Source organism: Homo sapiens, chromosome 6 (assembly GCF_000001405.40).
Source record: "Homo sapiens chromosome 6, GRCh38.p14 Primary Assembly".
Lineage (NCBI taxonomy): Eukaryota > Metazoa > Chordata > Mammalia > Primates > Hominidae > Homo > Homo sapiens.
Window position 1 is genome coordinate 134,979,269 of NC_000006.12, and position 26,498 is coordinate 135,005,766.

At 34.9% G+C, this 26,498-nt stretch overlaps 1 protein-coding gene and 1 non-coding gene across 5 annotated transcripts in view; both read right to left on the reverse strand.

Moving 5' to 3' along the window:
- The window catches only part of HBS1L (HBS1 like translational GTPase), a 94,445-nt gene that overhangs the window by 18,891 nt on the left and 49,056 nt on the right, over positions 1–26,498 (reverse strand). For all 4 annotated transcript variants that reach the window (NM_001145158.2, NM_006620.4, NM_001363686.2 and 1 more), the window contains 9 exons: positions 23,466–23,574; positions 18,129–18,388; positions 17,509–17,674; positions 14,490–14,607; positions 8,377–8,523; positions 7,468–7,542; positions 6,798–6,915; positions 6,073–6,141; positions 3,190–3,294 (listed from right to left, as the gene is read on the reverse strand). In NM_001145158.2, the coding sequence (NP_001138630.1) occupies positions 3,190–3,294; positions 6,073–6,141; positions 6,798–6,915; positions 7,468–7,542; positions 8,377–8,523; positions 14,490–14,607; positions 17,509–17,674; positions 18,129–18,388; positions 23,466–23,574 (1,167 nt within the window). The remainder of the gene's footprint in view (positions 1–3,189; positions 3,295–6,072; positions 6,142–6,797; positions 6,916–7,467; positions 7,543–8,376; positions 8,524–14,489; positions 14,608–17,508; positions 17,675–18,128; positions 18,389–23,465; positions 23,575–26,498) is intronic.
- MIR3662 (microRNA 3662) lies at positions 70–164 on the reverse strand. The gene has a single exon (NR_037435.1). It is a non-coding gene; the product is annotated as a microRNA 3662 (primary transcript).

Sequence of the window (26,498 nt, forward strand, 5' to 3'; positions counted from 1 at the left end):
CTGGAAATGAGTAAGAACCAAAGCATACAGTGAAACACCTCGATATCAAACCATAACAACCAACAGAGTTTGGCTGATTTGTGCTTCATCAGTCACTACTCATCATTTTCAATATGAATGGATTGAGAGTAAGAAGTGTAACTGTGAGCGTTGAGGAAAACACACTTCCTCTAGAACTGACTCTTCTAGAATACCACCCTAAACATAAAGTGACTTGTATTTGCCCATAAAAGGCTGACTTCTGCTTATTTAATCAAGATTTTTAAACTAATTGACACAATTGGTATATTCATTAAACAGGCCCCATTCAAATATTTCTATCATATTAATGGATACAGACAAAATAAAACACAGTTCAAATTATTCATAATGACATAAAAGATGGGCTGGAGAAGATGTCTAGCAGTATTTTCTTCTCGAGTTTTGCTTTTAATTAGACAACCACCTAAACAAATAATCCTTGTTTTCCAAGTAACCCATGGGACATGTACACTCAGTCAGAATTTCAAGCGGTCCTCTCAGCAGGCCCCTTAACTACTCCTGGCTCAAAAGAACTTCTTTCCAGAGAGAGATCTGCATACTAATGACTAGTTATATGAAAAGAAAAATATTAAGGAAATAGTGATAAGAAAATTTAATTTTAAAATGATCCTAGGTGTTGCTATATATCTAGAGATATACATCTATTTACCTAGACATAGTCCTGAAGGTAGTCGGAGAGAGCAGTTCCCAAGGGCAATACTCAGCTACCTTACTCAAAGGCTTTTAAAATATATCCCATATTTTCTGATTTTATGGAATACATTTATGGATTAAGTTCCTTTCCATAGAAATGTAGGCCTTTTGACAAAGAGAATGTGTAGGCCAACCACTGTGGATAGTTCTTGATTGACACATTGACATGTTCTTAGTAAATTATAATCCACCCATATCTTTCTGAAAATACTCATTTTCTATGCAGCAGGGAGAGTTTCTGACTTTTAGGGAGCTCAAGGATTTAACTTTAAGAGCTCTGAGACAATCTAGAGTTTCATGCAAAATATCATGTATGTGCACATCTGCATTAATCTGAGAAAAGAAGGCATAACTTTCTTCAGGTATCAGAGATTCTTCCTCCCAAACATGTTAGCAATTATCGTATTAAGGAATGTTTGTTAAATATCAACTTACTAGATTTAATTTTAAAATGTAAATTTAGAATGAACATATCTGAATTTTGCTATGAAATATGGGATTAAAAACAGAAGCTAGGTATTTACACACAATAGAGATTGACTTTGGCTTAAACATTTGTAGATGTTTTATACTACAAGTTCAATTAACAGTATAAAATTTTCCAAAGGTAATTATATTCTCTGGTTCTTCTTCCCCTCAATCATGTTACACTGTTCCACATATGACATTTATCAAAAAACTTTTCTCATTGGACAAACATTACAAAAAGAGGCTCTTTTTTAATACTCTATGAGCTTGATATGTTAATAAAGTAAAAAAAAAAAAGTAATTTAGAATTTCTATTTGTTGGTAGTAGATTCAGTCAAGTCTTTCTTTTGGGACAGTACTGGTTAAAGAGCCACAGTAGTACCTAAAAATGTTTAGACAGAACAGTGCTTTCAAGAATCAAGTAAACCAAGCAAAAGCAGTAAGGTTAGAATGGAGGAAGGAGAACCTCTCTGTTGAGTTAAAAGACTGGCTCTCAAGAAGTAGGGTGGTTCTTCCCTGGGGCTTCTGATAAGACTTACACTGATAAAAGATAATACTTTAGAGTTTCTCTGTGTGGAAAGTACAGAGAAGAGGAGGGTAAAGAATGTGAGACTTTCAGAGATGACTAAGGATTTTAGAGGTTACAAGGGAGCCAACCTCAAGGTCTGTGATAACTTTAGGATCATGGTTTTAATTTATGGCTCTTAATCATAAAAAAATTCTTGTTCTCAAAAAAGATCATTAACATACCAAAAAAATCGTGTTTCAAAAGTATTATAGCTCTTGTCACTTTAAAAAACAAAAGCAGAGACCTGTACTTGCACACAATGAACAGATCTATAGAAAATGACACTATTTTTAAAGTGCATATTACTTTTTATCAAAACTGAAATTTCATGATCTCTAGTGGGCACAAATAAAAAGGTCAAATGGAAATAACTGATTTTCATTCCCTTATTCATCTTTAAATATAGGTTAAACCATGTAACTTCAATAGATATTAATTTCTTAAACTTTTCAAGAAATCTTCTTTTAAAGAGAGCATATGAATTCAAGAAAAATATACATTCAAATTGATAAACTAGTCAGGTACAACTCTAGATATAAACTATAAATTAAGAGTAACAGAGGGAAAAATACTAAAATCTAAAAAATTTTTGCATTTCCAATAGGTTATACTTCAGCTTAAAATGGTTACAAATAATATTATTTTATAGTATAAAACAGATCTTCAGAAGTCAGAGGCTTAGTTGGAAGCCAGAATAAAAGAGGTATAGAATTAGAAAGTTTTAGTCAAAATCTGGAAAATAATATACATGTACATGTAACATATAACATGTATACATATACATAAATATATATATGTGTGTATATATTAGAAGACAGAAACAATTATCAGTCATTATGAAAAAAATTAGATCTATATGCAGAAACAGTGACTGGCAATTTAAACTAGTTCAATTTCTCTTTTCAACATTGGGTTTTTCTCCATTTGAATGTTACTTATATCTTCCTATAAAATATACCTACATTTTTGGCATAAACATGATCAAAGCTGTTAATTTATAGTTATTCTGAAACATACATTTCAAAGTAACAGACTGTAGAAGGCTGCTTTGCCACTGACTAGTTAGGGTAAGGCTGGGACTAGATTTAATTTCTGCTACAGAATATTATTCCAAATACATCTGTGAGGTATCTATACATATCTGATTAAATCCTAACCAGGCTTCTCAGATCTGTGTCAAAAATAGAATGCTACTACAGTTAGAATGTTTATGTACATATATATACAGACACAATCACAACAGAAAAAAATCGTTTAATGTTTTCACATTTTAATCTTCAACAGTCAGTATCATTTTGACAGTCAGTTACAATTTCAGTAAGAGGTTACTTACTTTGGAGTTGTAACTAAACCACTTTTTAAAAATCTGCTGTCTCAACTTAAGGCTTGTTTAGCAAAAGCATCTTGCAGATAAATACCTTTCACGGTACAAGTTTCATTAGGAGGCATTGCCAGTAGTCGGTCACCAGTTTGGATATAACCAGCTTCTATTTTACCAGTTATGCAAAATCCAGATCCTTGATCTGCAAAACATACCAAAATCTTATGGTTCATACAGCAATGTTATCTGATGATTAATACCGTTAACTATACTTAGTTCTCAAGTAGTCATATAAAACTAGTAGTTCAATGGACATTAAATAATAATCATTTCAGAATTAACATCTCTACTAAATATGGCATACCACACTTTACTTTTTTTTTTTGCAAATAAAAATACTCATATTACCAAAGAAAGGTTCATTCCTTTCTCAAATATTTATTGAGAAATAATAAATACGTAGTACCAGATATTATACTAAACTCTGGGGATAAAAAAAAATAAAAATGTAAGTCCCTGCCCATAAAGATATTATACTAGTGAAGAGAAAGATGGAAACAATTACATTGTCCTGAGACAAATAATATGTAAAATATACAATAGAAACACAAAGGTGCACCAAAGAATCCATGATGGTGAGAATAGACATCTGGCACTCTGAAGAAGGAATAAGTGTTTATTAGGTAGCTTGTATGCATGAGTAGGGAGAAAAAGGAAGACACTGCTGCCCCAGGAAACTGTGTGGGCAAAGGCATAACCAAATGTGGGATGGGCTAAGAGTCATGTGTCACTTGTGGGGGCCATGGGGAGGGGACCATATAGAATAATGAAGAAAAGGTAAGACAGGAGGCAACAGAGATAGGCAAGGGAGAAATAATAAAGGGGTCTCATAAATCACGCTTAGGGTTTAAATTTCATCCTGCAGTTAAGTAATAGGAAGCCAGTAAATATTGTGACCGGAGAAGTAAGGTGATGGTATTTCTGTCTTAGAGTAGAGGCTGATACAAATGCACAAACTTACTACAGAAAGGGAATAAACTCAAGAATTCGGGAATAAGGAATAACAAGTTTGGAGTGGTAAGGAAAGTGAAGACTAATGACAGAAAGGGGAAAATGTGAGATGATGATGCATTAACTGTGAGATATGAAACTAAGGACAAGATCCATTTTAGGCTTGGTAAATCTGAAGTGTCTATGAGACACACACATGCAGAAGTTGCATTCCGGGGGGACCAATCACACCACATTCCATGAGAATGGTACCCCTAAAAGAACACTCTCCCAGGAGAGATGTCCAGTAGTGCTTAGACAAGTGTGTGGAGAATGAGTGAAAAGGTTTGGGTTGGAGATACAGATTTGGGAAGCATCAAGATGCAGAAGGTAGAGACACTCATGGATGTCAGTTCAAAAGGAACTTGAAGACTAAGAAGAGGACTGAGGCAGCAGAACACTGTTTAAAAGACAGAGAATGAGGAGCCCATAGAGAAGATATAGAGAGGTCAGAGATAGACAGGTCAGAGAAATAGACAGGTTAACAGGAGAAAGCAGGTCACAGAAACCAAGGGAGGAGTTTCAAGGTGGATGTGGCTACCAGCATCAGAACCAATGCCAAATTCAAGTAAGATAGAATTGAAAGTGTATATTGACTTTGGCAACCAAGAGGTCATTTCATGACCTCAGGAGGAACACACTCAGGAGAGCAGCGTAGGCGGAAGCCAGGAAGCAGCCTGAAGGGGGAACAGAAGGTGAGAAAGTACAGTCAGCAAACACTGTTAATCAAAGAAAAGTAACCACCTCTTGTATTCTTGATAAACAATGGGCATCTTGGAAACTATTAGCATATTTCCTCTATTACTAGAACACTGGAAGCTAATAATGATAATGATAAATTTTGATTTCATTGCATGATTTTTTCAAAGCACCTTCATTCATTCATTTTTTTATTCATGTGTTAAATGTATTATGTGCCAGGCACTGGGCTAGGGCCGCAGATATAGATAAAGAAGAGATAGTACTTGCCTTCAAGGAGTTCATAATCTAAGTGGGATAAACAGACAGCATAGAAAAAATTATAATGCTGCATGAAAGCACAATGACAGAGGATACAGAGAATACAGAGGGACGCGTCAGGGCATGTGCGCAGGTAAGCACGCCGGTTACCAATTTACTGCTGCTCAGTTCCACATTCACTCTGCATTGCTGGCTCTGTGACAATGGAGATTTAGAGGACAAATGACATCCTTACAGTTTTTATTATTGTAATAATAAATCTTATATCCTTTTATTTATTGAGTTTTTAAATTGTATTTCCACTTTATAGTCTTCTATATAGGATCTTGCCCTTATTAAGTTAGATATATTCTTAGGTATTTAATATATCATCTCTTCCAGCAAGCTCTGAACCTCTTCTACGTTGGTCCTTCCTCAGCCCTATCTATAAAGTTTCTGTATATCTTTTAGTTGCATTTTTATCATAGTTAATAATTCTTTATATTACATTTCCCATTTCACCTATGTATGGTATCTAACTCCTAACTGGACCCAGACTGTTACAGATGGGGAGGAAATGGACAAGTAAAGAGAAAGAACAATACAACAGGGAAGCACGGGTAGACATGTGGCAATAAACACATCCTGTGTGGTTAAGAAACAATAAACAATCCAGTTTGGTTGAAGGATTTGAAAACTAAAGGAATCTAATGGGAGAAAAAAAAACTATAAAGTTAGAAAGACAAAAGGCAAGGTTTTCTTATGCTTGAAAGATGAGAAATGGTGAGTAAACTGAAGGTTTTCCTGGACAGGGAAGCTAAGTGACTAAATCTGTGCATTTTAAGATTAATCTGACAGTGATCCTTACTTGGGCATGGAGAGGAGAGACTCTGAAGGCAATATACTGTCATAACTTAGTCCAGGAAAGGAGGTTAGGAGGGAATGGGGAAAAGGGGCTATACTGAAGAAGCACTACAAAGGTAGCACTTACCTTTGAAAACATCGGACACACATAATCTAAAAGGTTTGTCAATAGATCGCTGGGGAGGCTTAAAGGAATCTGGAAAAAAGAAATTGCAAAAGGCAAGGTTTAATTTAAAATTAAATTTTTGACTCACTTCAATAAACTCATTATAATCCCACTTCTCCTAGAAAATAACTACTTTTTATAATTACTAATAGCAACTTAACTGTCACTAATATACACATTGAGCATCCCAAATCCAAAATTCTGAAATCTGAAATGCTCCAAAATCTGAAACTTTTTGAGCACTGATATAATGCTCAAAGGAAATGCTCATTGGAGCATTTTGGATTTCAGATTTCTGAATTTGGGCTGTTCAACTAATAAGTATAATGTAAATATTCCAAAATCCAAAAAAAAAATTTCAGACCCCAAACACTTTGGGTCCCAAGCATTTCGGATAAGGGACATTCAACCAAGTAATAGTTGCAGCTTATAAAATGAATGTTAATCTCATTTAATTTTAACAACAGTCTATAAGATATGTAAACCAGGCACTAGCCTCATAAACTGAGGAAAACTGAGCACTAGACAGGTTAAGTATTGCACATGATGACAAAACAGGTAACTTAGTTCCTCCGACTACAAATCCTATGCTTTTTCATACGTGTGACTCTCTCCCATAAAGAACTCTAAATAATAATTAATACCAAGTTTATAATGCATTAAAGCTAGAATGGCAGTATACTTACCAATTTGTTCTAATAAACATAGTCCTTTATACCATTTTGTGAGTTCACTTGACTGAGATCTTGTGATTAGATTTTCACCACTGAGACCACTTGTAGGAATAAAACCTACATCACTCTCCTATTAAAAAGATTGACTTATGAAACTTAATACAACATTTTTTAAAACATTAAAAGATTCACCATTACCATAACTGCACCAAGTTTGCAAAAGCAACAATGTACTTTTTAAAACATAATAGAAATCACAGAACTACAGCCCCAAAGTTATCTGATCCAATAATTTTCAACTTTTTTGATTGGGAAACTTGCAAATTTATTCCAAAACATTCAAGCATTTGGTAACAAAGGCATACTACAGATGCTTGCTGGACAAATTCTTCCCTATCAGTTTCCACACTCCTCTATGACCTCCCTAAACCTATACCATCTAATTTAATAGGTAGGGTAAAAAAGTATTTTGCTTACATAAAAACCAACCCAAATATTAAACATATGCAATTTTCTAAGTTGAAATAATCCAAAGAATATATTATATATATGATACTCAAGAGAAAATAAAGCAAAGAGAATTAAATAAATTTAATAAGAATATCAAAGTATTAGTTTTTCCTCTCATACCAGTAAGATGACTTAAGGAAAGTAATAACAAATAAATCTAAAATGATCTTACCTTAAAACCTGCTTGCTTAAGAAAGTGCCCAAGTTTTCCAGTAATCTCTTGAAACCTTTCTTGTTGCCAATTAACCTGATAAAGATCCAATTTATTTTTAAAACTATCCTTCAGAACATGATACATAAAATTTAAATTTCTGCAATGAAATATAATCAAGACTATATAAAATATAAATATAAAATCTATTAAAATCAAAACATGGAATATCAGACCTTGCTAATAATATGATCTAAAAGTAATTCTTCCTCAAAATGCTCAAAGGCATTTTAATCAGGTTCAGCAAGTCTTAAAACGTACATTCCCTTACGCCCAGAAATTTCCATGGAATGAACCATTTTCTAAATACATATGCAGGAAATGTTCAAAAGTAAATGTTTAATAAATTACATCTTTAAAATAGACTAGAATACAGCCATAAAAACAATACCCTCTTTATCTAAGGATTATCAATTACTTGGAAACATGCATAAGACAAGAAAATTATTTTTTAAAAAGCAGATGATAAAACAGATAACCCAATTTTGTAAATAAAAAGATTCTTATCTATAAAAATAAATTGGATGAATATACAAAATGAAATGTTATAAGTTTCTGGGTGGGAAGGAGAATTGGTAATATAGGTTTATTTCTGATTTTTATGCTTTCATTCCACTATAATAAACATGTATTATTTTATAATTTAAAACAATTTTTAGGTTTTAAAAATTAATTTTGAAAATAAGAAGACATTTTCTTACTTAAAAATTACTAACACCTCATTTATTTAAGATGAGAACAGAGAATTTATTTTTAAAAACATGGCAACCGACTAATAAAATGTACACTAGTCACATCTAAGTCATCTATACAAGCAGAATAACATCTTAATTAGCATCTTAAACAAATCTCCACAAAGCCCTTAAATACCTGATCCATTTTATTAACTGCAACTGCAAGCTGCGTCACTCCCAGAGAACGGACCAAGAGTCCATGCTCTCGTGTTTGTCCTCCAGTCTCAAATCCAGCTTCAAACTCTCCCCTGCTGGCATCTACAACTAAAACAGCTACATCCGCCTAAAGAAGAAAAATAATCGAAGCCAGAAATAATGTTTCAGCATTTTAATTCAAAGGACAGATTATTCAATTAATTATGTTAGTCACATTTTTAAAGGAAGACCCTAACTACCCCCACCAAAGCAAATCAAACAAAAGACTCCCAAAGATGGATTAAAATTTTAAAATAAAAGTCACCAAAAATAATGACACAAAGAACAATAAAAAAGTCCACACTTGATTATATAAGAATTAAAATATATAAGCAAAGGAGGAAAAATATAAACAAAATTAAAACATAAACAAACAGCAACCAGGCACAGTGGCTCACGCCTATAATCCCAGCACTTTGGGAGGTCAAGGCAGGCAGATCACCTGAGGTCAGGAGTTCGAGACCAGCCTGGCCAATATGGTGAAACCCCATCTCTGCAAAAAATACAAAAATTAGCCGGGTGTGGTGGTGCACACCTGTATCCCAGCTACTTGGGAGGCTAAGGTATGAGGATCACTAGAACCTGAGAGGCAGAGGTTGCAGTGAGTCGAGATCGCCCCACTACACTCCAGCCTAGGTGACAGAACAAGACTGTCTCAAAAAAACAAAAAACAGTAGACAGGGAGGGACAAACATTTGTAACATATAAAGTAAAGGTTATAATCTCTATAGAATCTTTACCAAAAAAAAAAAACATAAAAAACCCCAAAACAAAGCAAGAAGACATAGCTTTAAAAGATACAAGCAAGCTATTTGCTAAAGAAATATAAATGGTCAACATGAAAAAAATTCAAATTCAGTAGAAACTAAAATTTTTTAAAAGTAAAATAAAAACACATTGACATATTCCCTCTCTCCCATTTTTACAAATCACATTGTTAAAGATTTGAAAGACAAAATTATTTGCTGTAGGCAAGGATACGGTGAGAAGCGCATCCTCAAATATTGCTCATGGGACTGTAGGTGCACCACCTTCCAGGGGGTATTTTCACAAAAAGTATCAAGAACTTAAAAATTACACATATTTTACTTCCCATCAATTCCACCTCTAGGGATTTATCCCAGAGAAATAAGTATAGATCTACAAAGATATTCATCAGAGTACTGTTTATAATGAAGAAAAACAGCAAATATATGAATTATCAAAAAGCAGCATATTCATCCTCTACAGCTATTGAAAAAAAAGCCTTGTATAACAAAGTTTTCTAACCTGTGTGGACCATCTTGTGAATCAGATAGAAAGACATTCCTTTCAGACTCAAATTACACACCCCACAAAAGAAGAAAGCTAACCTCAGCTTAGCTCAGTTTTTGTTAGCCTTATTGAAACTAACTTTACAGGTTCCCACTATTCTTTTGTGTTGATGCCACTTGCGTCATGTGGATGCAGCCTTTTAAAATGTGCAATAGACAGTTTGTGCAACCATAGAAGTTCTTCCTTTTCATTCTTATCAATTATTTCTGTCAATGCACTGTAGGGGCATTTTTTAAAGAACACTTTTATTTTCTCTTTTACAGCTTTTGCTTTGTATGCATACCTGTTTGTCATAGAAATCCACTTTTCTGAAATCCAGGAAACAAAGACTACACCTGGCATTCCCCTTTTTAGCTATCTCGGGCTGTTACATGATAATCACTATCTCTCCAGGGTCCTCTTATATTCCATCCACATCATTAAGTTCTCCTGCTTTCTGGTCAGAACAGAGTCCACAACAGCTTGTTTCTTTGTTGCTTCCCCAATGACCCTTTACTTCTGTGCTCTCCAGTTTTTAAAGAATTTCAGATATAATATATAATCCTCACCATAATGGAAAATAAATGGTCATAAAATATGTCAAGAATGTCTCAGATACTTTCTTACAACAGAACATTACGATTTAAATTGAAGTACTAACCATACACTTTGGTGGGATAATTTACACTATTCCTGTTTCCTTTTACTCGTACCTAAATACTCCTGCTTTGTCTCTACTCTTAAGTGCCATCTTCACTTCCAATCCCTCATATTTTATAAAACTGAACATTAATTTCCTCAATGAGATCCAGCTCTTTTGATCAAGGATTCTTAGATTAGAATAAGCATACAAACTGAAGCAATCAATTTGAATATTGGCTCTTTCATGCATACCTGTAGTCAATAACTGTTCTCCACACCTCAGGCAAGTTGTCTAACCTCTCTGTGTTACCAACTTACTTACTTCACAGAAACCCTAGGGAGTAAATATAGTTTATATAAAACATCCAGACCAGAACTTCCAAGTCCTAGGCTCAGTAATTGAAAATCTTTTTCTCATTAGGTTTTCATAATAACTGTAAAATTATATTTACCTTCTTAGGTTAAAATGTGAAATTCATTGAATTGGTATTAAGATACCTAAGGCCACAAATGTTCTACCTAATCTTCCTATTACTATCTCCAAAAAATTACTGGGAAATTTCTCTATTAATATTATTTCTAGGCAATAGCTCTTGTCTTTGGGAGTCCAAATGCCTACTACGCATTCTCAAGGAAGCCTCTGATGATCAAGCAGAATAAAGTGATCTCTCTCCACAATGTATATCTTCTCTGTTCTTGCAGCGCAACTGTTAGTCTTTCCACTTCACATCTTGTCTTCTATACTGTGATTTCCCTGAGGTGAGGCAGCATGCCTTGTATGCTTCCTTGTGTCCCCAAAGCCCACTGCAATATTTTGCACACTCGGCAAGTTACTTAACATCTTTGAGTCTCTTTATCTCTTTGTTACATAATGGAATTCAATTAGATGATCTCTAAAATCCTTTCCCACCATAATTCCATAAAGAGTTTGAAATAAATGATTTTTGTTTTTTGAGGCAGGGTCTCACTCCCTTCCCTCACGGCTCACTGCAGCCTCAACTTCCTGAGCTCAGGTGATTCTCCCACTTCAGTTTCCTGAGTAAGTGAGGCTACAGGCACCTGCCACCACACTCAGCTAATTTTTTGTATTGTTAGTAGAGACAGGGTTTTGCCATGTTGCCCAGGCTGGTCTTGAACTCCTGGGTTGAAGCAATCTGCCCACCTCAGCCTCCCAAAGTGCTGGGATTACAGGCGTGAGCCTCCACACCTGGCCTGGAATAAACGATCTTTATAATAACTGTGGACTCTAAGGTCCTAGAATTCAGAAGTATTTTTTACTACAACTGCTTCTGGTGTTTGTCTCGCCCATTAAACTATCAGTGCTTTGTAGGCATTGCATTCCCACACTGCTACCCCAGTGCTTGCTACACAGCCAGTATTCAATAAGTAATCAATGAAAAAAAAAAAGAAAAAGACTCACAGACATACACACACACACACACACATATACACATATAAGGAGAAATCAAAACTATATTGTATTCTTTGGTAAATGCAATGAGAAGTACAGTTTCCCTAAGTATCAGTGAGGGATTGGTTCCAGACCTCCCAACACCCATGGATACCAAAATCTATGAATGCTTAAGTCCCTTATACAAAACAGGGTAGCCTTTGCATATAGCCTACACACTTCCTCTTACACACTTTAAATTATCTCTAGATTATGTGTAATACCTAATACAATGCCTACACATCACTTCCTTTGCATGGATTCAACACAGTACTCAGTGTGTGGCAAATTCAAATTTTGCTTTTTGGAACTTTGTGGAATTTGTCCCCCCCAAATATTCCAATCCACAGTTGACTGAATCCGTAAATGCAAAATCCATGCACATGGAGGAATGACTGTATACTAATTTAAAATGGTGATAATATACACTTCCTAGAGTTGTTATAAAGATTATATTAAACTGAATGCATGTAATACCTAATACAGTATCTGGTCCACATTAGGTACTCAATTAATAGGGATAATTACTTTATTTCAATCTTTTATCACATTCAGTCCATGAATCTTGAATTAATATTCTAAAATTACATGTCAACTTTCTAAAATAGTATCAAAAAATTCTTATCTTCAAATATATTATAATGTATTCATACAATATCCTTTTTGGTTAACAAATGTTCATGTTAAAATTCTCTTTTTGGCTGGGCACAGTGGCTCATGCCTGTAATCCCAACACTTTGGGAGGCTGAGGTGGGGATTGCTTGAGCCCAGGATTTCAAGACCAGCATGGGCAATACAGTGAGATCCCATCTTTACAAAAAACTAAAAAATTAGCCAGGCATGGTGGCACATGCCTGCAGTCCCAGCTACTCAGGAGGCTGGGGTGAGAGGATCCCTTGAGCCCGGGAAGTTGTGGATGCAGTGACTGGTGACTGTGCCACTGCACTCCAGCCTGGGCTACAGAGTGAGACTCTGTCTCAAAAAATTAATATTTTAATGAGTAGATCCCAGAAAACGGGTAATTGCTTGAAGTCATGTTTTTGCCATGTAACAGAGTCAAGTTATTTTAACTCTTCATGTTTTCCAGTAATCATCCATTATGAAAGAAATCAATGTCCTATATATGCAGTGCTATTTTCATTGCTTTAATAATTTAAAGTTACGGTGATGCACAGCATAATGACGTTTTGGTCAACCATGGACCGCATACGTGATGGTGGTCCCATAAGATTATAATGGAGCTGAAAAACTCCCATTGCCTGGTGATGTCATAGTCGCCATAATGTCATAGCACCATGCATTACTCATGTATCTGTGATGATACTGGTATAAACAAATCTACTGCGCTGCCAATTGTATAAAAGAATATAGCATATGCAATTATGTATAGTACTTTATAATGATAATTATGATAGTGGTTTATGTACTTACTATTTTTCACTTCTGATGATCCTGATCCTGTGTAGGCCTAGGCTAATGTGCGTATTTGTGTCTTTGTTTTTCACCAAAAAAAGTTTAAAGTAAAAAATACATATTAAAAAAAGCTTATGGAATAAGACTATACAGAAAGAAAATATTTTCGTACAGCTGTACAACGTTTGTGCTTTAAGCTAAGTGTTATTATAAGAGAGTCAGAAAGTTAAAAAAAATTTAAATGTTTATAAAGTAAAAAAAGCTACAGTAAGCTAAGCTTAATTTACTATTAAAGAAAAACATATTTTTAAATAAATGTAGTGTCCCCTGAGTGTACAGTGTTTGTAAAGTATACAGTCGTGTCCTAGGCCTTCACATTCACTCACTGAATCACCCAGAGCAACTTCCAGTCCTGCGAGCTCCATTCATGGTAAGTGCCCTATACAGGTGTACCATTTTTTATCTTTTATGCCCTATTTTTACTGTACCTTTTCTATGATATGCTTAGATCAGTTTAGATACACAAATATTTACCACTGTGCCACAACTGCTTACAGTATTCAATACAGTAATATGTTATACATGTTTGTTGCCTTGGAACTATAGGTTCCATGTAGCCTAGGTGTATAAAAGATGTTACCATCCAGATTTGTGTAAGTAAACTCAAATATGTTCACAAATGATGAAACTGCCTAACAACTCACTTCTCAGAATATTTCCTTATCATTAAGGGATGTATGAATGCAAATTATATTTGATTTTTTGCAGTATTCTTATTAAGAATCATGTAATTTACAAATTGCAATGCTTTTTTAATATTATAAAGAAAGTAAATAAACCACTGGGCGAAAATACCCAAGCTTCATTATTTCTGCATAAACAAGCTCTTTAAAAAGATATAGAACTTGAATATATTGAAAGACATAAGGCAGATTTTGAAATACTCAGGCCAACTTATCAATAAAGGAAATATGAAGCTATACTCATCAAGTCCTTTACCATTACTTTTACGATAAAGAAACTCATAGCTTTTATACATTTTGTTTCTTTGTAAGAAATTTTAAAAGGTTTTACAAAGTACAGGTAGAAAGATCATGAAAAATACAATATTGCTCTTTTTGTTCAAGCTTTATAAAGGTTAAAATTTTTAATTTTAAAATATTTTAAAAGTCAAAATCCTAGAATTGTAACCTCAGCATCAGAAAATTTTATGTAAAGTACAATCAGCACACTATAGTGAAGAAAACAGCAGTTACCTGGGCTGCTCCTGTAATCATATTTGGAATGAAGTCCTTATGGCCTGGAGCATCCATTAATGTAATAACTTTGGTTGTGGTTTCAAACTTTGTCATACCAACATCCATGGTTACTCCCCTTAAACAAAACATAACATGGTTAGAATGTACGATATAAATAGTGCTATAGAGTAAATTAATAATAGTCTACATGACCATCTACATTCTTAGGTAAAAATGGAAATTGTTTTTATAGACTATTATTTTTGAATAATTAAATTATCAATCGGGGCTGGAATTTCTGCTATAATAGAAGTGCATCCATATGGTTTTAACATAAAAGGGAGGACAAAGTAAGAGCTCAATAAAAATGATAGTTATGCCCTATTATCTTATTTGTTTTGTAAGAAATAGTGTAAATTGTGAAGAAGGATACATGGGGACAACTCTAAATGGGGGGAAAATACTGCATATGAGAAAAGACAAATGCAAAATTACCACGACCGAGAGGTAATTTTCTTCACGTTCTACACTTATGCTTCACTAATTATAGAAATGAGCTTATAAAACTTAATTTGCAAGGCTGGTTAATATGCTACATATTTAGAAAACATAAGATATCAAAGCAGATGCCTAATTTTTAAAAAACAGAGATAGATGAACAGCAGATTGCTTTGTATCCTATTTAATTCTTCCTGGAGACCAACATAGTGCCTTTTTTCAGCCACAAAAATGTAGATTCAGATTAGTGAAATGCTTGGGACTAGAAGCTTTTCAAATTACAGACTTTTTTGGACTTGGAATATTTGCATATACAAAATGAGGTATCTTGGGGATGGGACCCACATCTAAACACAAAATTCCTTTGTTTCATATACACATTATACACATAGCCTGAAGGGAATCTTATGCAACATTTTCAGTCATTTTGTGTGACCTGTCACATGAGATCAGATGTAGAATGTTTCACTTGTGATGTCATGTCAGCACTCAAAAAGTTTCAGATTTTGGAGCATTTCAAATTTCATATTTTCAGATTAGGGATGCTTAACCTGTATAAGAAGGCCCAAGGAAGGTCTACAAGGGCACTCAGTCATTCTAGGCCTCAGGAATTTAAACAGGGAAATCATGTGGCAATAAACTAGGTTTGCCCCAGAATCACCCAAAGTAAGGAATAATAATACTCCCTTTTACTACCAAAAGAGTACAACAATTAGAATAATGAACTATAGGTTTGCCCTAGCAATAAAGTAACTGTAGGTCTCCTTAGTCAAGCCATTTTAGCTTAATCTGAAAGCATGGGCCATCCTAGTTTGCTAAAGTGACGCTTAATTCTCTTTAATAATTCCCAAATACTCTAGGGACCACAGACACCTTCAGAGTAATGGTGAACTAAGACTTATTCTGAGATCCTCCCTAGACTGACCTGGGTATACTCTGCTGACACAGCTCTGATTTCAATTTGTAACCCTAAGGATATGAAATGTCACTCAATTTACTAATTTCTGTTCTTCAGTATCTGAGAAGACCAGGGGATTTACAAATATTTAACATGGCAGGATAAGCAACATATTACATTTTGTAAATGCTATTAAGGAACATACGGTGGTGAGCTAAAACTCCCATCATGTACCTGGAAGCATCTGCTATCTATGGAATGAAGAAATATTCTAAAACTTATATCATGCTGAGCAATAAAAAACTAGCAGCAGCAAAACGCAGCAGCAAAAATATGAAAGCCAATCAACAGATGTATTATCAAAAAAGCTAAAATGACTGACCATTATAGGAATCAAATAGATTATTAGTTCACTTGCCAGCTCAACTAAGATACTAGGTAAATTCAAGTAAACCATTCTAACTTAAATTATACTGTTCTCAATGTCTTTACCTGCTTACTAGATAATGCAAAGAAAACTAAAAAGCCACATACTTTAGTAATGTGCTTGTTAAACTGAGAGGTGAAAATTATTTAGGCTTCTACTATTGCATCATATACAATTACATTGTTTTCCAAAATTGGCAACTGTCCAGCTAATTTTTCTTACTAGGATAGAAAACAGGTCTGTGATACTATAAAGAACTAAAGACACCCACAAAGAAAGAGAAACCATTATGATACAAATTCTGGTTTATCAGAAGAGCTAAGGAATACTGTGACCTGCTTTACAGAGCGTTACCTTATATGTTTATAATGGAGACTATCCAAGACTGCAAGAAAATACACATTAAAAAGGCATGAAAATCCAGATATATTCTCCAATAATCAGATTGAAGACATCAGGGAACACAGTTTAATCTCGTTAATCTAGGACTTCCACAGGACTTTATAGGTTTGTAAAGAGTCATTATTTTGACACAGTTGATATATCTGCCATTTCACTAATTATTAAGGTGTCCTTTGGCTCTCCTACCCTAGCTACCCTAACATGATCTATACTGACACTCTAAAAGGACTTCAAAAGAAATACTATTCTTTGGCCAGACAGTAACAGAGACAGAGGAGTAACTGACTGCATTATAGCTACAGAATTACTTGTTTGCAGACTGTCTCATAAAAACATAATATGTAAAGTATAAAAATGAATTGTTTGGTAATTTGAATTTGCTGGTTATTTAGATTCTACACAGAAGAGGTTTTATGACAGTTACCTTTCCTTTGTAAGCTGACATGAAATTAAAAGTCTTACTCATAATTTTAATTCAAAATCAAGACAATTTGACAAATACTTAGGGAAGTGACAACTGAAACTTATCCCATAGAATAATCAGCTTATGATTTTTACTGTTGTTTTTCTGCATGGCTTTTATTTTGTTTCTTTTAAACATTCTTTTAATCTATTTCTATAAAATTCAGAAGAGTAAAAACAGTATGCAGATTACATCAAAAAAGTCAAAATAGTTCCCTGATATCTAAAAGCTATTTTCTAAAAATAATCTCTAAAGTATTTCATATGTTTTACAAATTCAACACATATTACACACTTATTTTAGAAGACTGTATGATTTCAAACTGAAAATTTTGAAATATAGTGACTACCTTTCCCTTTCTTCGCCAGTTTCATCCAAGACCCATGCATATGCAAACGAAGCTTTGCCAGCCTTTTTAGACTCCTGTTCATACTTATGCATAGTTCTTTTGTTTATATTACCCAGAAGATAAAGCATATGGCCCATCAGAGTACTTTTCCCAGCATCAACATGACCTAAAGAAAATTGATTCAGGATTAATACCAGGTACATTTCCAGATGTTCACATTGAGGCATTGCATAAATGTGTAATTCAATATTTCATGTCAGTGGTTTACAGTAATACCAGTATTTATCAAATGACAGTTAAAACATCTAATAGAAAAAAAAAAGAGCATATCTCTTTACAGACGGGGGGAATTTCTCAGATTTTTGGAAATTAAAATTGTCAACAAGACACGCCAATTTCAAAATGTTCACAAAATGAAAAATCCCACAATCAAGTGTAATGACCTCTTTGGTAACTTGGCATTATCTCTCCCCACATGACTAGAAAGCATTATGAGACTGTGCCTCCTTGCTCTCTGTCCATTCCACCCATGGAGAAACTCAGAGTTTCCATGCTGCCTCCAGACAGTGGGCAGGCTAAGGCATGGCTGGCTGACGATCCAGAGGGACAAAGAGCATTACCAATGACCACTAAGTTGAGTAGCTGCTTCCCTCCTTGCCGCTTCTCCAGTTCCGCCTTCACATCTATTTGCTGCCTCAGCTTGCCAGACTTTTTCACCGGTGCTGGGGTTGAACTCTGCTCTTCTGATGCTTGAATCGTGTGGGGTGGATTAGCAGATTTAGAAGCAGTCTCAAGAACATCGGAAGAAGCAATGGCATCTTCAATGGGCGGTCCTTTTTGAGGTGTGTGGAAACTATGACCATTTTCTTCAGAAGATACTCTACAGAAGGCAGATAGGAAAAAAGTATTTGAAACCAACTCTATTGATGTCCTACAATGACAGAAGGGCAGAGAAACTGTTTCTTCATAATCCTTTATGCTCCAGACCAGAAATAATCTCTGCTAAGTAGCTAAAGTCTGTTAAGGTGGAAATGATAAGTAGCTAGACTCAAACCACACAAATACAACCGTGGAAGATCCCATGAGAAAAACTGTACCAAAAATGAAGATAAGAAGAAAATAATGTTGAAAAATAACTGAAATTCAAAATCAAGCCCACAGTCTTGGCCATATAATCCATCCTATCAAAATCAATGGTATGAAGGAGATATTTTGTAAAATTGGCACCAAATATATTACTGGAGATGAATTAGTACTAAAATATAGTTTTACTTCAACTCATCCTTCCAACATGATAGACTTATGATCTTTTTTACTCAAATACTACCCCGAGGGGAGATATCTCTAAATGACTACAGTTCATAAACATTTTTGACAGTGGAGCTTTAATTCATTAATTCAACAAACACTTGATTTATTAAAAACTACAACATATACTAGGGACTGATGTCAAAAAGAAAATGACATAGAAATTAAAAAGTTAACTACCACTCTTAAAAGATTACAATCTAGTGAGGAACTCAGATATATAAAGGAGAAACAAGACTGCCCAGCTTAACTTATTCTTTCCTTAACAAAAGTAAACACTGATCTTAGTTCTTCATGAGCTCGTTGACACTCCACATAGAAACTAGTACCAGTGCAACTCTGAATAGCTATAAGGAATGTGACCTAATAATCAGACTATGATATGCCTCACTTTGCTTTAACAACTATGGATAAACAGAATTAGGACAAAGAGCAGGTTAAATTGGAAGTTATTAAGAATGAAACCAATTATATCCAACTCTATGTGGAGCTGGCAAAGAAAAACTACATATAGAAAGCAATTTATAATAATCATTTAAGATTGTAGCATGATGGATATGTGTAAGCACATCTATTTTCTTCTTGCCTATTATAACAAAAAATACATTGGTTTTTCCCTGTCAGGGCATTTTTATATGCCCAACATTAGCCCTTCACAATACGCCTCAGGAAAAGAGTCACAATAGTTATATTTGCAACTTTATTTAAAGCCACATATCCATTCTCATTTTATTTTGCTTTTTCAAATCTCCACTAACCAATTTAGGTGTTCATTTTTGAGCACTGCTTAGACAGATGCACTTCATCTTAAACTAGTAGGTAAAAACAGTAATATGCAGGAAATGTTCCCATACTTTTAAAGGATTCTAACAGGCTAAATTAAGTGAAATCAAACAGACTATAATTTGCAAATATTTGTTTGAATGACCACAGCTAGTTCTAAAACCAAAACTTGACAATTCTATACTTAGAAGAATTTTTAAAGCCCCACAAATTATAATACAAGTGATCTACTGTGACTAGACATAGGCTCTGGTCTGAATCAGACCTGGCAGAAATCACAATCTCGGGCCCCAGATCTTTTTGTTTTTAGCTGCAAAACATTTTCTTCAGAGGCAAGCTTGCATTAAATTCAATATGGAAAACAGATCAAAGCAGACAGCTATGGTGGACAGAGTGGGCAGGGGCTTGAAGCTCAGCTCCCCCACCAATCCAGGCAGCCCTCAGAGGGGCTGCCAGAATAGGAAGGGCTTCACAAAACAGGGCTGACTTGATCATTTCATCTGCAATTCAATAACATGAAAGGTTTGTTTTCCTCTGGCTTTCAGGATAGCATTTTCATTTAAGTAAATCTTTTTCTTTTCTTTTTTTTTTTTTTTTTGAGATGGAGTCTCCCTCTATCACCCAGGCTGGAGTGCAATGGTGCGATCTCAGCTCACTGCAACCTCCGCCTCCCAGGTTCCAGCAATTCTCCTGCCTCAGCCTACTGAGTAGCTGGGATTACAGGCGCTGGCCACTACACCCGGATAATTTTTGTATTTTTAGTAGAGACAGGGTTTCACCACATTGGCCAGGCTGGTATTGAACTCCTGACCCCAAGTAATCCACCTGCCTCGGCCTCCCAAAGTGCTGATATTACAGGGGTGAGCTACTGTACCCGGCCCCTTTTAAGTAAATCTTAGGTAAACTGTAAATTAATTCACTAAAATTCTACAGTGTTAGTGGGAAATGACCAAAGTAATTAGAAAAGTATCCTAGGTAAGTCTGCCCTTAGTAAAAAAAACTTCTGCATATTATGAAATAAAAGTCAATGTTTTAAGATTTGAAAAATATCTAAGATAAGGTCTAAAAATGACCATTTGGATTTCAGGCCTATAATTAATTACTGACTGGTATGAATGAAAGAATAAGTTGGTTGGATTTTTTTCAGGTGCTTTCTGGTATCATTTTGTAAGCTTTTTTTCTTTCTTTCTTTCTTTCTGTTTTTTGAGATGGTCTCGCTCTCGCTGTGTTGCCCAGGCTGGAGCGCAGTGGTACAATATTGGCTCACTGCAGTCTTGGCCTCCCAGGTTCAAGTGATCCCACCTCAGCCTCTTAAGTAGCTGGGACCACAGGCAAGCACCACTATACCCAGCTAATTTTTTTTTTTTTTTGGTAGAGATGGGGGAATCTCAATATATTGCCCGAGCTGGTCTTGAACTCTTAGGCTCAAGTGATGCTCCCACCTCAGCCTCCTAAAGTGCTGGAATTACAGTCACGAGCCACAATGCCCACCCTGTACACTTACCTAATATTATAAAATGACTAGTCTTTTTTTTCTCTAAACTACCTTTCTAAAAGTAAACTATACATGAATCTAGAGGTTTAATCTTTCTTCTGGAGTTAAATACTTAGAAGCGAATAACTGAGATTTAAGAGGTTAAAAGAATATTTCTTCTATATGCAATGTTCCATTTCTACTTACATGCACTTACTTGCATCTACTATTTTTAATATTATTAAAGAAAAAGAAAGTTTGCTGTTTCATTTCCTTCCAAGCAATGCATTATGCACTATCCTTTTTTTTTTTCTTCCAAATAGAGACAGGATCTCACTCTGTTGACCAGGCTGGAATGCAATGGCAGGATCATAGCTCCCTCAAACTCCTAGGCTCAAGCAATCCTCCCACCTCAGCCTTCCAATGTGTTGGTATCACAAGCATGAGCCACTGCACCCAGCCGTATCCTTTTTAAAATAAGACACCACTGAGAATCACACTACGTAGAAACCTATGATGCTGAAATCTTGACTCAAAAGTGTTTCACTGTGTTTCTATATGCTTTCTTAAGACTAACCCAGAATAGGCTAAGTGCTATCCCTATTATAAATCTCAAAAAATCCTGTAATAGTACAACTTGGTTGGCCTTGAGCACTATTAAGCATTTCTGAGTATTTCGATCTATAACTACAGACCTTTCACATTCTAATGACTTCTCCCATAGAGCCACATCAAAATGTTGCCTCATGGGTGGATTTTTTACCTTTATGTTATTTGCAAGTTTATTTTTAAAATAATACATATTTCCCCAAGGATTCTGAGCAATAAATATTTAATAACTATTCTGTAAAAGGAATACAGTGATGAACATTAACAGTCCCTGGCCTCACAAAGAATATAGTCATAAAATTCTGAAAGGCCTGCATTGTACTTACAGAGTTTTCAAAAATTATGCACATTATTTATTGATACATTTATTACCCATTATCTTTATAATTATTCATTTAGATACCTATGCATTTACTTCTAATATAATACATTAATTTGGGTTCATTTGCATGTTAAGACTTCTGAAAAATCTTTTGTACTAAGATTATAAAATCCTTAGAACAATAAATTGTGTATTCTATTTATTTCCCCCCTCTCTCTCTCTCTGTATGTAAAAATCCCATAATAGAATTAAATGGTACTCAAGAATAAGGACAAAAAGGGCAATTATAATTCTGACAACTCAATCCCAATTCAGAAGGAAAAAAGGCATACACGAAGCTTTTTGAGACTGAATCAGAATTCTAAATTATTTTAACAGGCTAAAGTTACTCATGATAAAAATTAACTTTTTCATTCATCCAATCATTCAATTAATGTACACTGAATGCCTACTATGTCCTAGATAAGGAGTCCTTTCCTTCACTGACTTTGAAATCTAGTGAATAAAGTCTTGTTTCTATAAAATCCAAAAATTGAACTAGGTGATAAACATTCTTCCCAACCAAAACTCATAATACCTCACTAGTTTAGACAAAAGAATATTGTAAGGAAAAAAAAAATAAATAAGGTTCCTGGGTTTATATTTTTAAAAAAATATAACTTGGGAAAAGAGGAAAAAAAAGGAAAAAAAGTATATATATATAAAAATCTATTGTTTATAGTAAAAACCTATTGTTTATATTTGATAACAGCGTTTATCATTTTGGCAGACAAAATACATATAATTTATAAGTAACAATTGAAAATTCTGAAAAATTTTAGAGTTTAAAAATTAATGGCTTTAAAGCAACTCACTTCCCTTGTCTATAAAAACTCCTGGAAGGATTCTAGAGACTTTGATAAGAACAAACAAGTGCTACCAAGGTATGGTTTATTTCCATTTTTCACTACATATTTGAAATTCTACATATGTTTCATATCATATGTCTTTGCTACAATGGTCCAATTTACGTCTTTGCTACAATGGTCCAATTTATTCAATATGAAAATCCAAAAGAGTTTAAAAATATTTTAGTTATTAAAAAATTTAATTAATGATTCCATGATTCGGGGACTCACTCCAAAATCTGGTTACCTCTGCCACCTAGTGGTATAAGAATTCCCTATCTCACAGTGCTAGGTTTCACAAAATCATAGGGTTTTTTATGTTAAAGTAGCTATAAAATATTTATGTAAGAAAACTGGCAGTGAGGTAGAGTAAGTAATACACACAAGATAAGGCCAGAATCAAGCCTAATTTCTCATTTTGTCTCTTTGTACTATGTTATACTGAGGATATATGATACTTCAGTGCTAATGATATATTATGCGAAATTGAAACAGTCTCTTTCTTACAGAAGCAACAGTGATTTCAAAAACTTGGGGGTGGGGGTGGGGATGAGGGAGGTACTCAAAGTCTTACCCAGGCACTTCAAATCCCATAGTTTGCTTCTTTCCAGATACAGTCATTTTAGCAACTTTTGGCACAATTTCAGATTCACTTCGCGATGTCTGGGAATCTACTGGTTTTCCTAGTTAAGGAGTAAAATATAAAAGGCCAATTAATTTCTTTAGTAATATAAAGAAATCTATTACATAGTATTTTAAATTATAGATTATGATAACTTTCACAGAATTAATGTCTTTATAAACACATTATCTCTAAAAAAATTTAGTAAGATATTAATGCTGAAAGAAATTCTGTCACTTTAATCTAGGAAATCCCCTATTGTCAGGACTCTCCTATGCTTAACCTCCACCAAATCTCTTCCTAATTTTGAACTGACTGTTAAGTTTCAGTATTAAGAGGTCACAAGGTAGTTTCTGCACTGAGCCTTGTTCTGACATTATACCTAGACCCTATACCTCCCTTTCCTACCACACCCTTTCACAATACTAAAATTGTTTGGTCAGTTAGCAGATGGCTAAACTATTTTTAATCCTGCGAGGTTTATGAACTGATGAACAAGTTGAGAGTCTGAATTGTGCTGGAATATAGTATATATTTTACTTGCACACAACACTAGACTTACTAAAATACTGATATCTATAAAGAATCTAGGGAAAGAGGTTAATGTAGAAAAACTGAATTAAGAACATGGGGGAATTAGTCAGGCATGGTGACATGTGCCTATAGTCCCAGCTACTCGAGAGGCTAAGGTGAGAGAATGGCTTGAGCCCAGGAGTTTAAGCTTGTAGTGAGCTATGATAACGCCACTGCACTTCAGCCTGGGTGACAAAGCAAGACTCCATCTCTTAAAAAAAAAAAAAAAAAGGCCAGGCACGGTGGCTCATGCCTGTAATCCCAGCACTTTGGGAAGCCAAGGAAGGTGGATCACGAGGTCAGGAGTTCGAGACCAGCCTGACCAACACAGTGAAACCCCTCTCTACTGAAAATACAAAAATAAGCTGGTCATGGTGGTGCACGCTTGTAATCCCAGCTACTCAGAAGGCTGAGGCAGGAGAACTGCTTGAACCCAGAAGGTGGAGGTTGCAGTGAACCAATATTGCACCACTGCACTCCAGCCTAGGCGACAGAGTGAGACTCCGTCTCCAAAAATAAATGAATAAATAAATAAAAATAATTAAAAATGGAGGGATGGAGGAGAATAAATTATGAGCTAGATCAAAGTAAGACTTTTTTTTGCATTTGATCCCTACATAATTCATTGAACTTTTAAAAATGTGTCTTTATAATTTTCAGAAAAAGTACCACCAGGATTGAATCCACATAAAACTATGGAAACTGCATGTGCTACATTGGTAAACACATATACAGAAACCACTAACAATATAAGAAAAGATAAGTTAATGTATAAAATTCATTTAAAATGTTTGCTATTTGCCTACTATACACCAGGCACTATGCTGGAAATGTGATGGTGAAGAACAGACGTAACACTTGCTCTAAGAGCGATTACATCCTAGCGGGGAAAACATACTAAATGATAAAAAAAAAAAAAAAAGTACAATTAAAATTGTTATTAGTGTTATAAAGAATCCATATATGGTGCCGTAAAATTTGATGATAGGGCACATGACTTAGAGAGCTTCTCTAGGAAAGTGAGAATTGGAGCTATGATGGGGAAAATGAATATAAATTATAATAACTAGCACAGAAAGAAAGAGCATTCCAAGCAGAAAGAGAAGCTTGTATAATGGTCCTCCTGTAGGAGGAAGCACAGTTCTTCAGAGGGAGTGAGAGCAGAGGGGAGCTACATGAAGCTGGAGAGATGGGCAGGGCCAGACAGTGCAGGACCTTTAGGTCATACCAAAGATCCTAATGCTTGCTCTAACGGAGGCGGAAGTTACCAAAATGAGGTAAGCAAAAGAGAGGGGAAAGGGCAAGGGAGAGGAGAGGATGAAGTAAAGGGACATCTGAAAACAAACAGTTTAGGGAAAATTTTGAGATTGGGACATATTAGAAATTTGGACCCAATATTTCAGAGTTCCAAATGACAATGAACATCAAATAGGCAGTTGAACATGTTGGTTGACCTCAAAGGAGAGGTCTGAGCTGCATCAGCACATAATTGGTAATTGAAGACATAGATACAGGCGAGACCACCAAGGGAGAGAGCACAGAGAAAGAAGAGAAGTGGTCCTAGGAGGCCTTGGAAGAACTCTAGCATTTAATGCCAAGATAATGGACAATACACCTACAAAAAGGTGAAGGAGAGCCAGGGAGGGTGGTGCCAATGAAGCTAAGGGAAGACAGTGTTATGGAGTTGGCATTACCAGGATCTGGGGCTCTGGGCCAGTCAACTGAATGAAGACTGAAAACATTCACTGGTGACATGATCACTTTAGATAAAAGTCATTGGTAGAGTTAGCAAGAGCCATTTGAAAAAAGTGAGAAAAGTAAAAGGCAAACTAGGTTAAAAAATGTAAGGTGAGAAATGAAGGCATGTTCACTACCTCTCAGCTATAATTTCAAAATCCAAAAGCATTGAAATATTAAAGTTTTGGGTTTTGTTATTTTAATAACTCATTTGGAAGCAAAATGTGACATGGACTGATATGAGGCTATTTATCGATAGCACTTATTGCTCCTACTGAAAGTGACAGCCACACACTTCAGGGCAGAAACGGCAATGTGTCGATTACAGGGAACTGCTCCACAATTCACTGGGGCTATTATACTACAGATGGTATGTACATGTTAATGTTTTCCTAAATCCAAAATATTCCAAATTCTGAATCAAATCTGGCCCTAAGGGCTTTAGATAGGGATTTCATTTGTATGAAAATGATTCTTTTAAAAAGTTTGTCTGAAAAGGGAATAATATGGCAGAATAGCAGTAGAAAGGGGATATGGGATCAAGCTGATAGAAAAGATTAAATGGAGAAGGTTTAGTTGAATAAATTACGAAGAGATCATCAATATTTTAGAGTTTCTGAGAAGGTAGAATGAGATGGAATCCAAAGTACAGGTAGAAACTGAGCTGAGACGGGA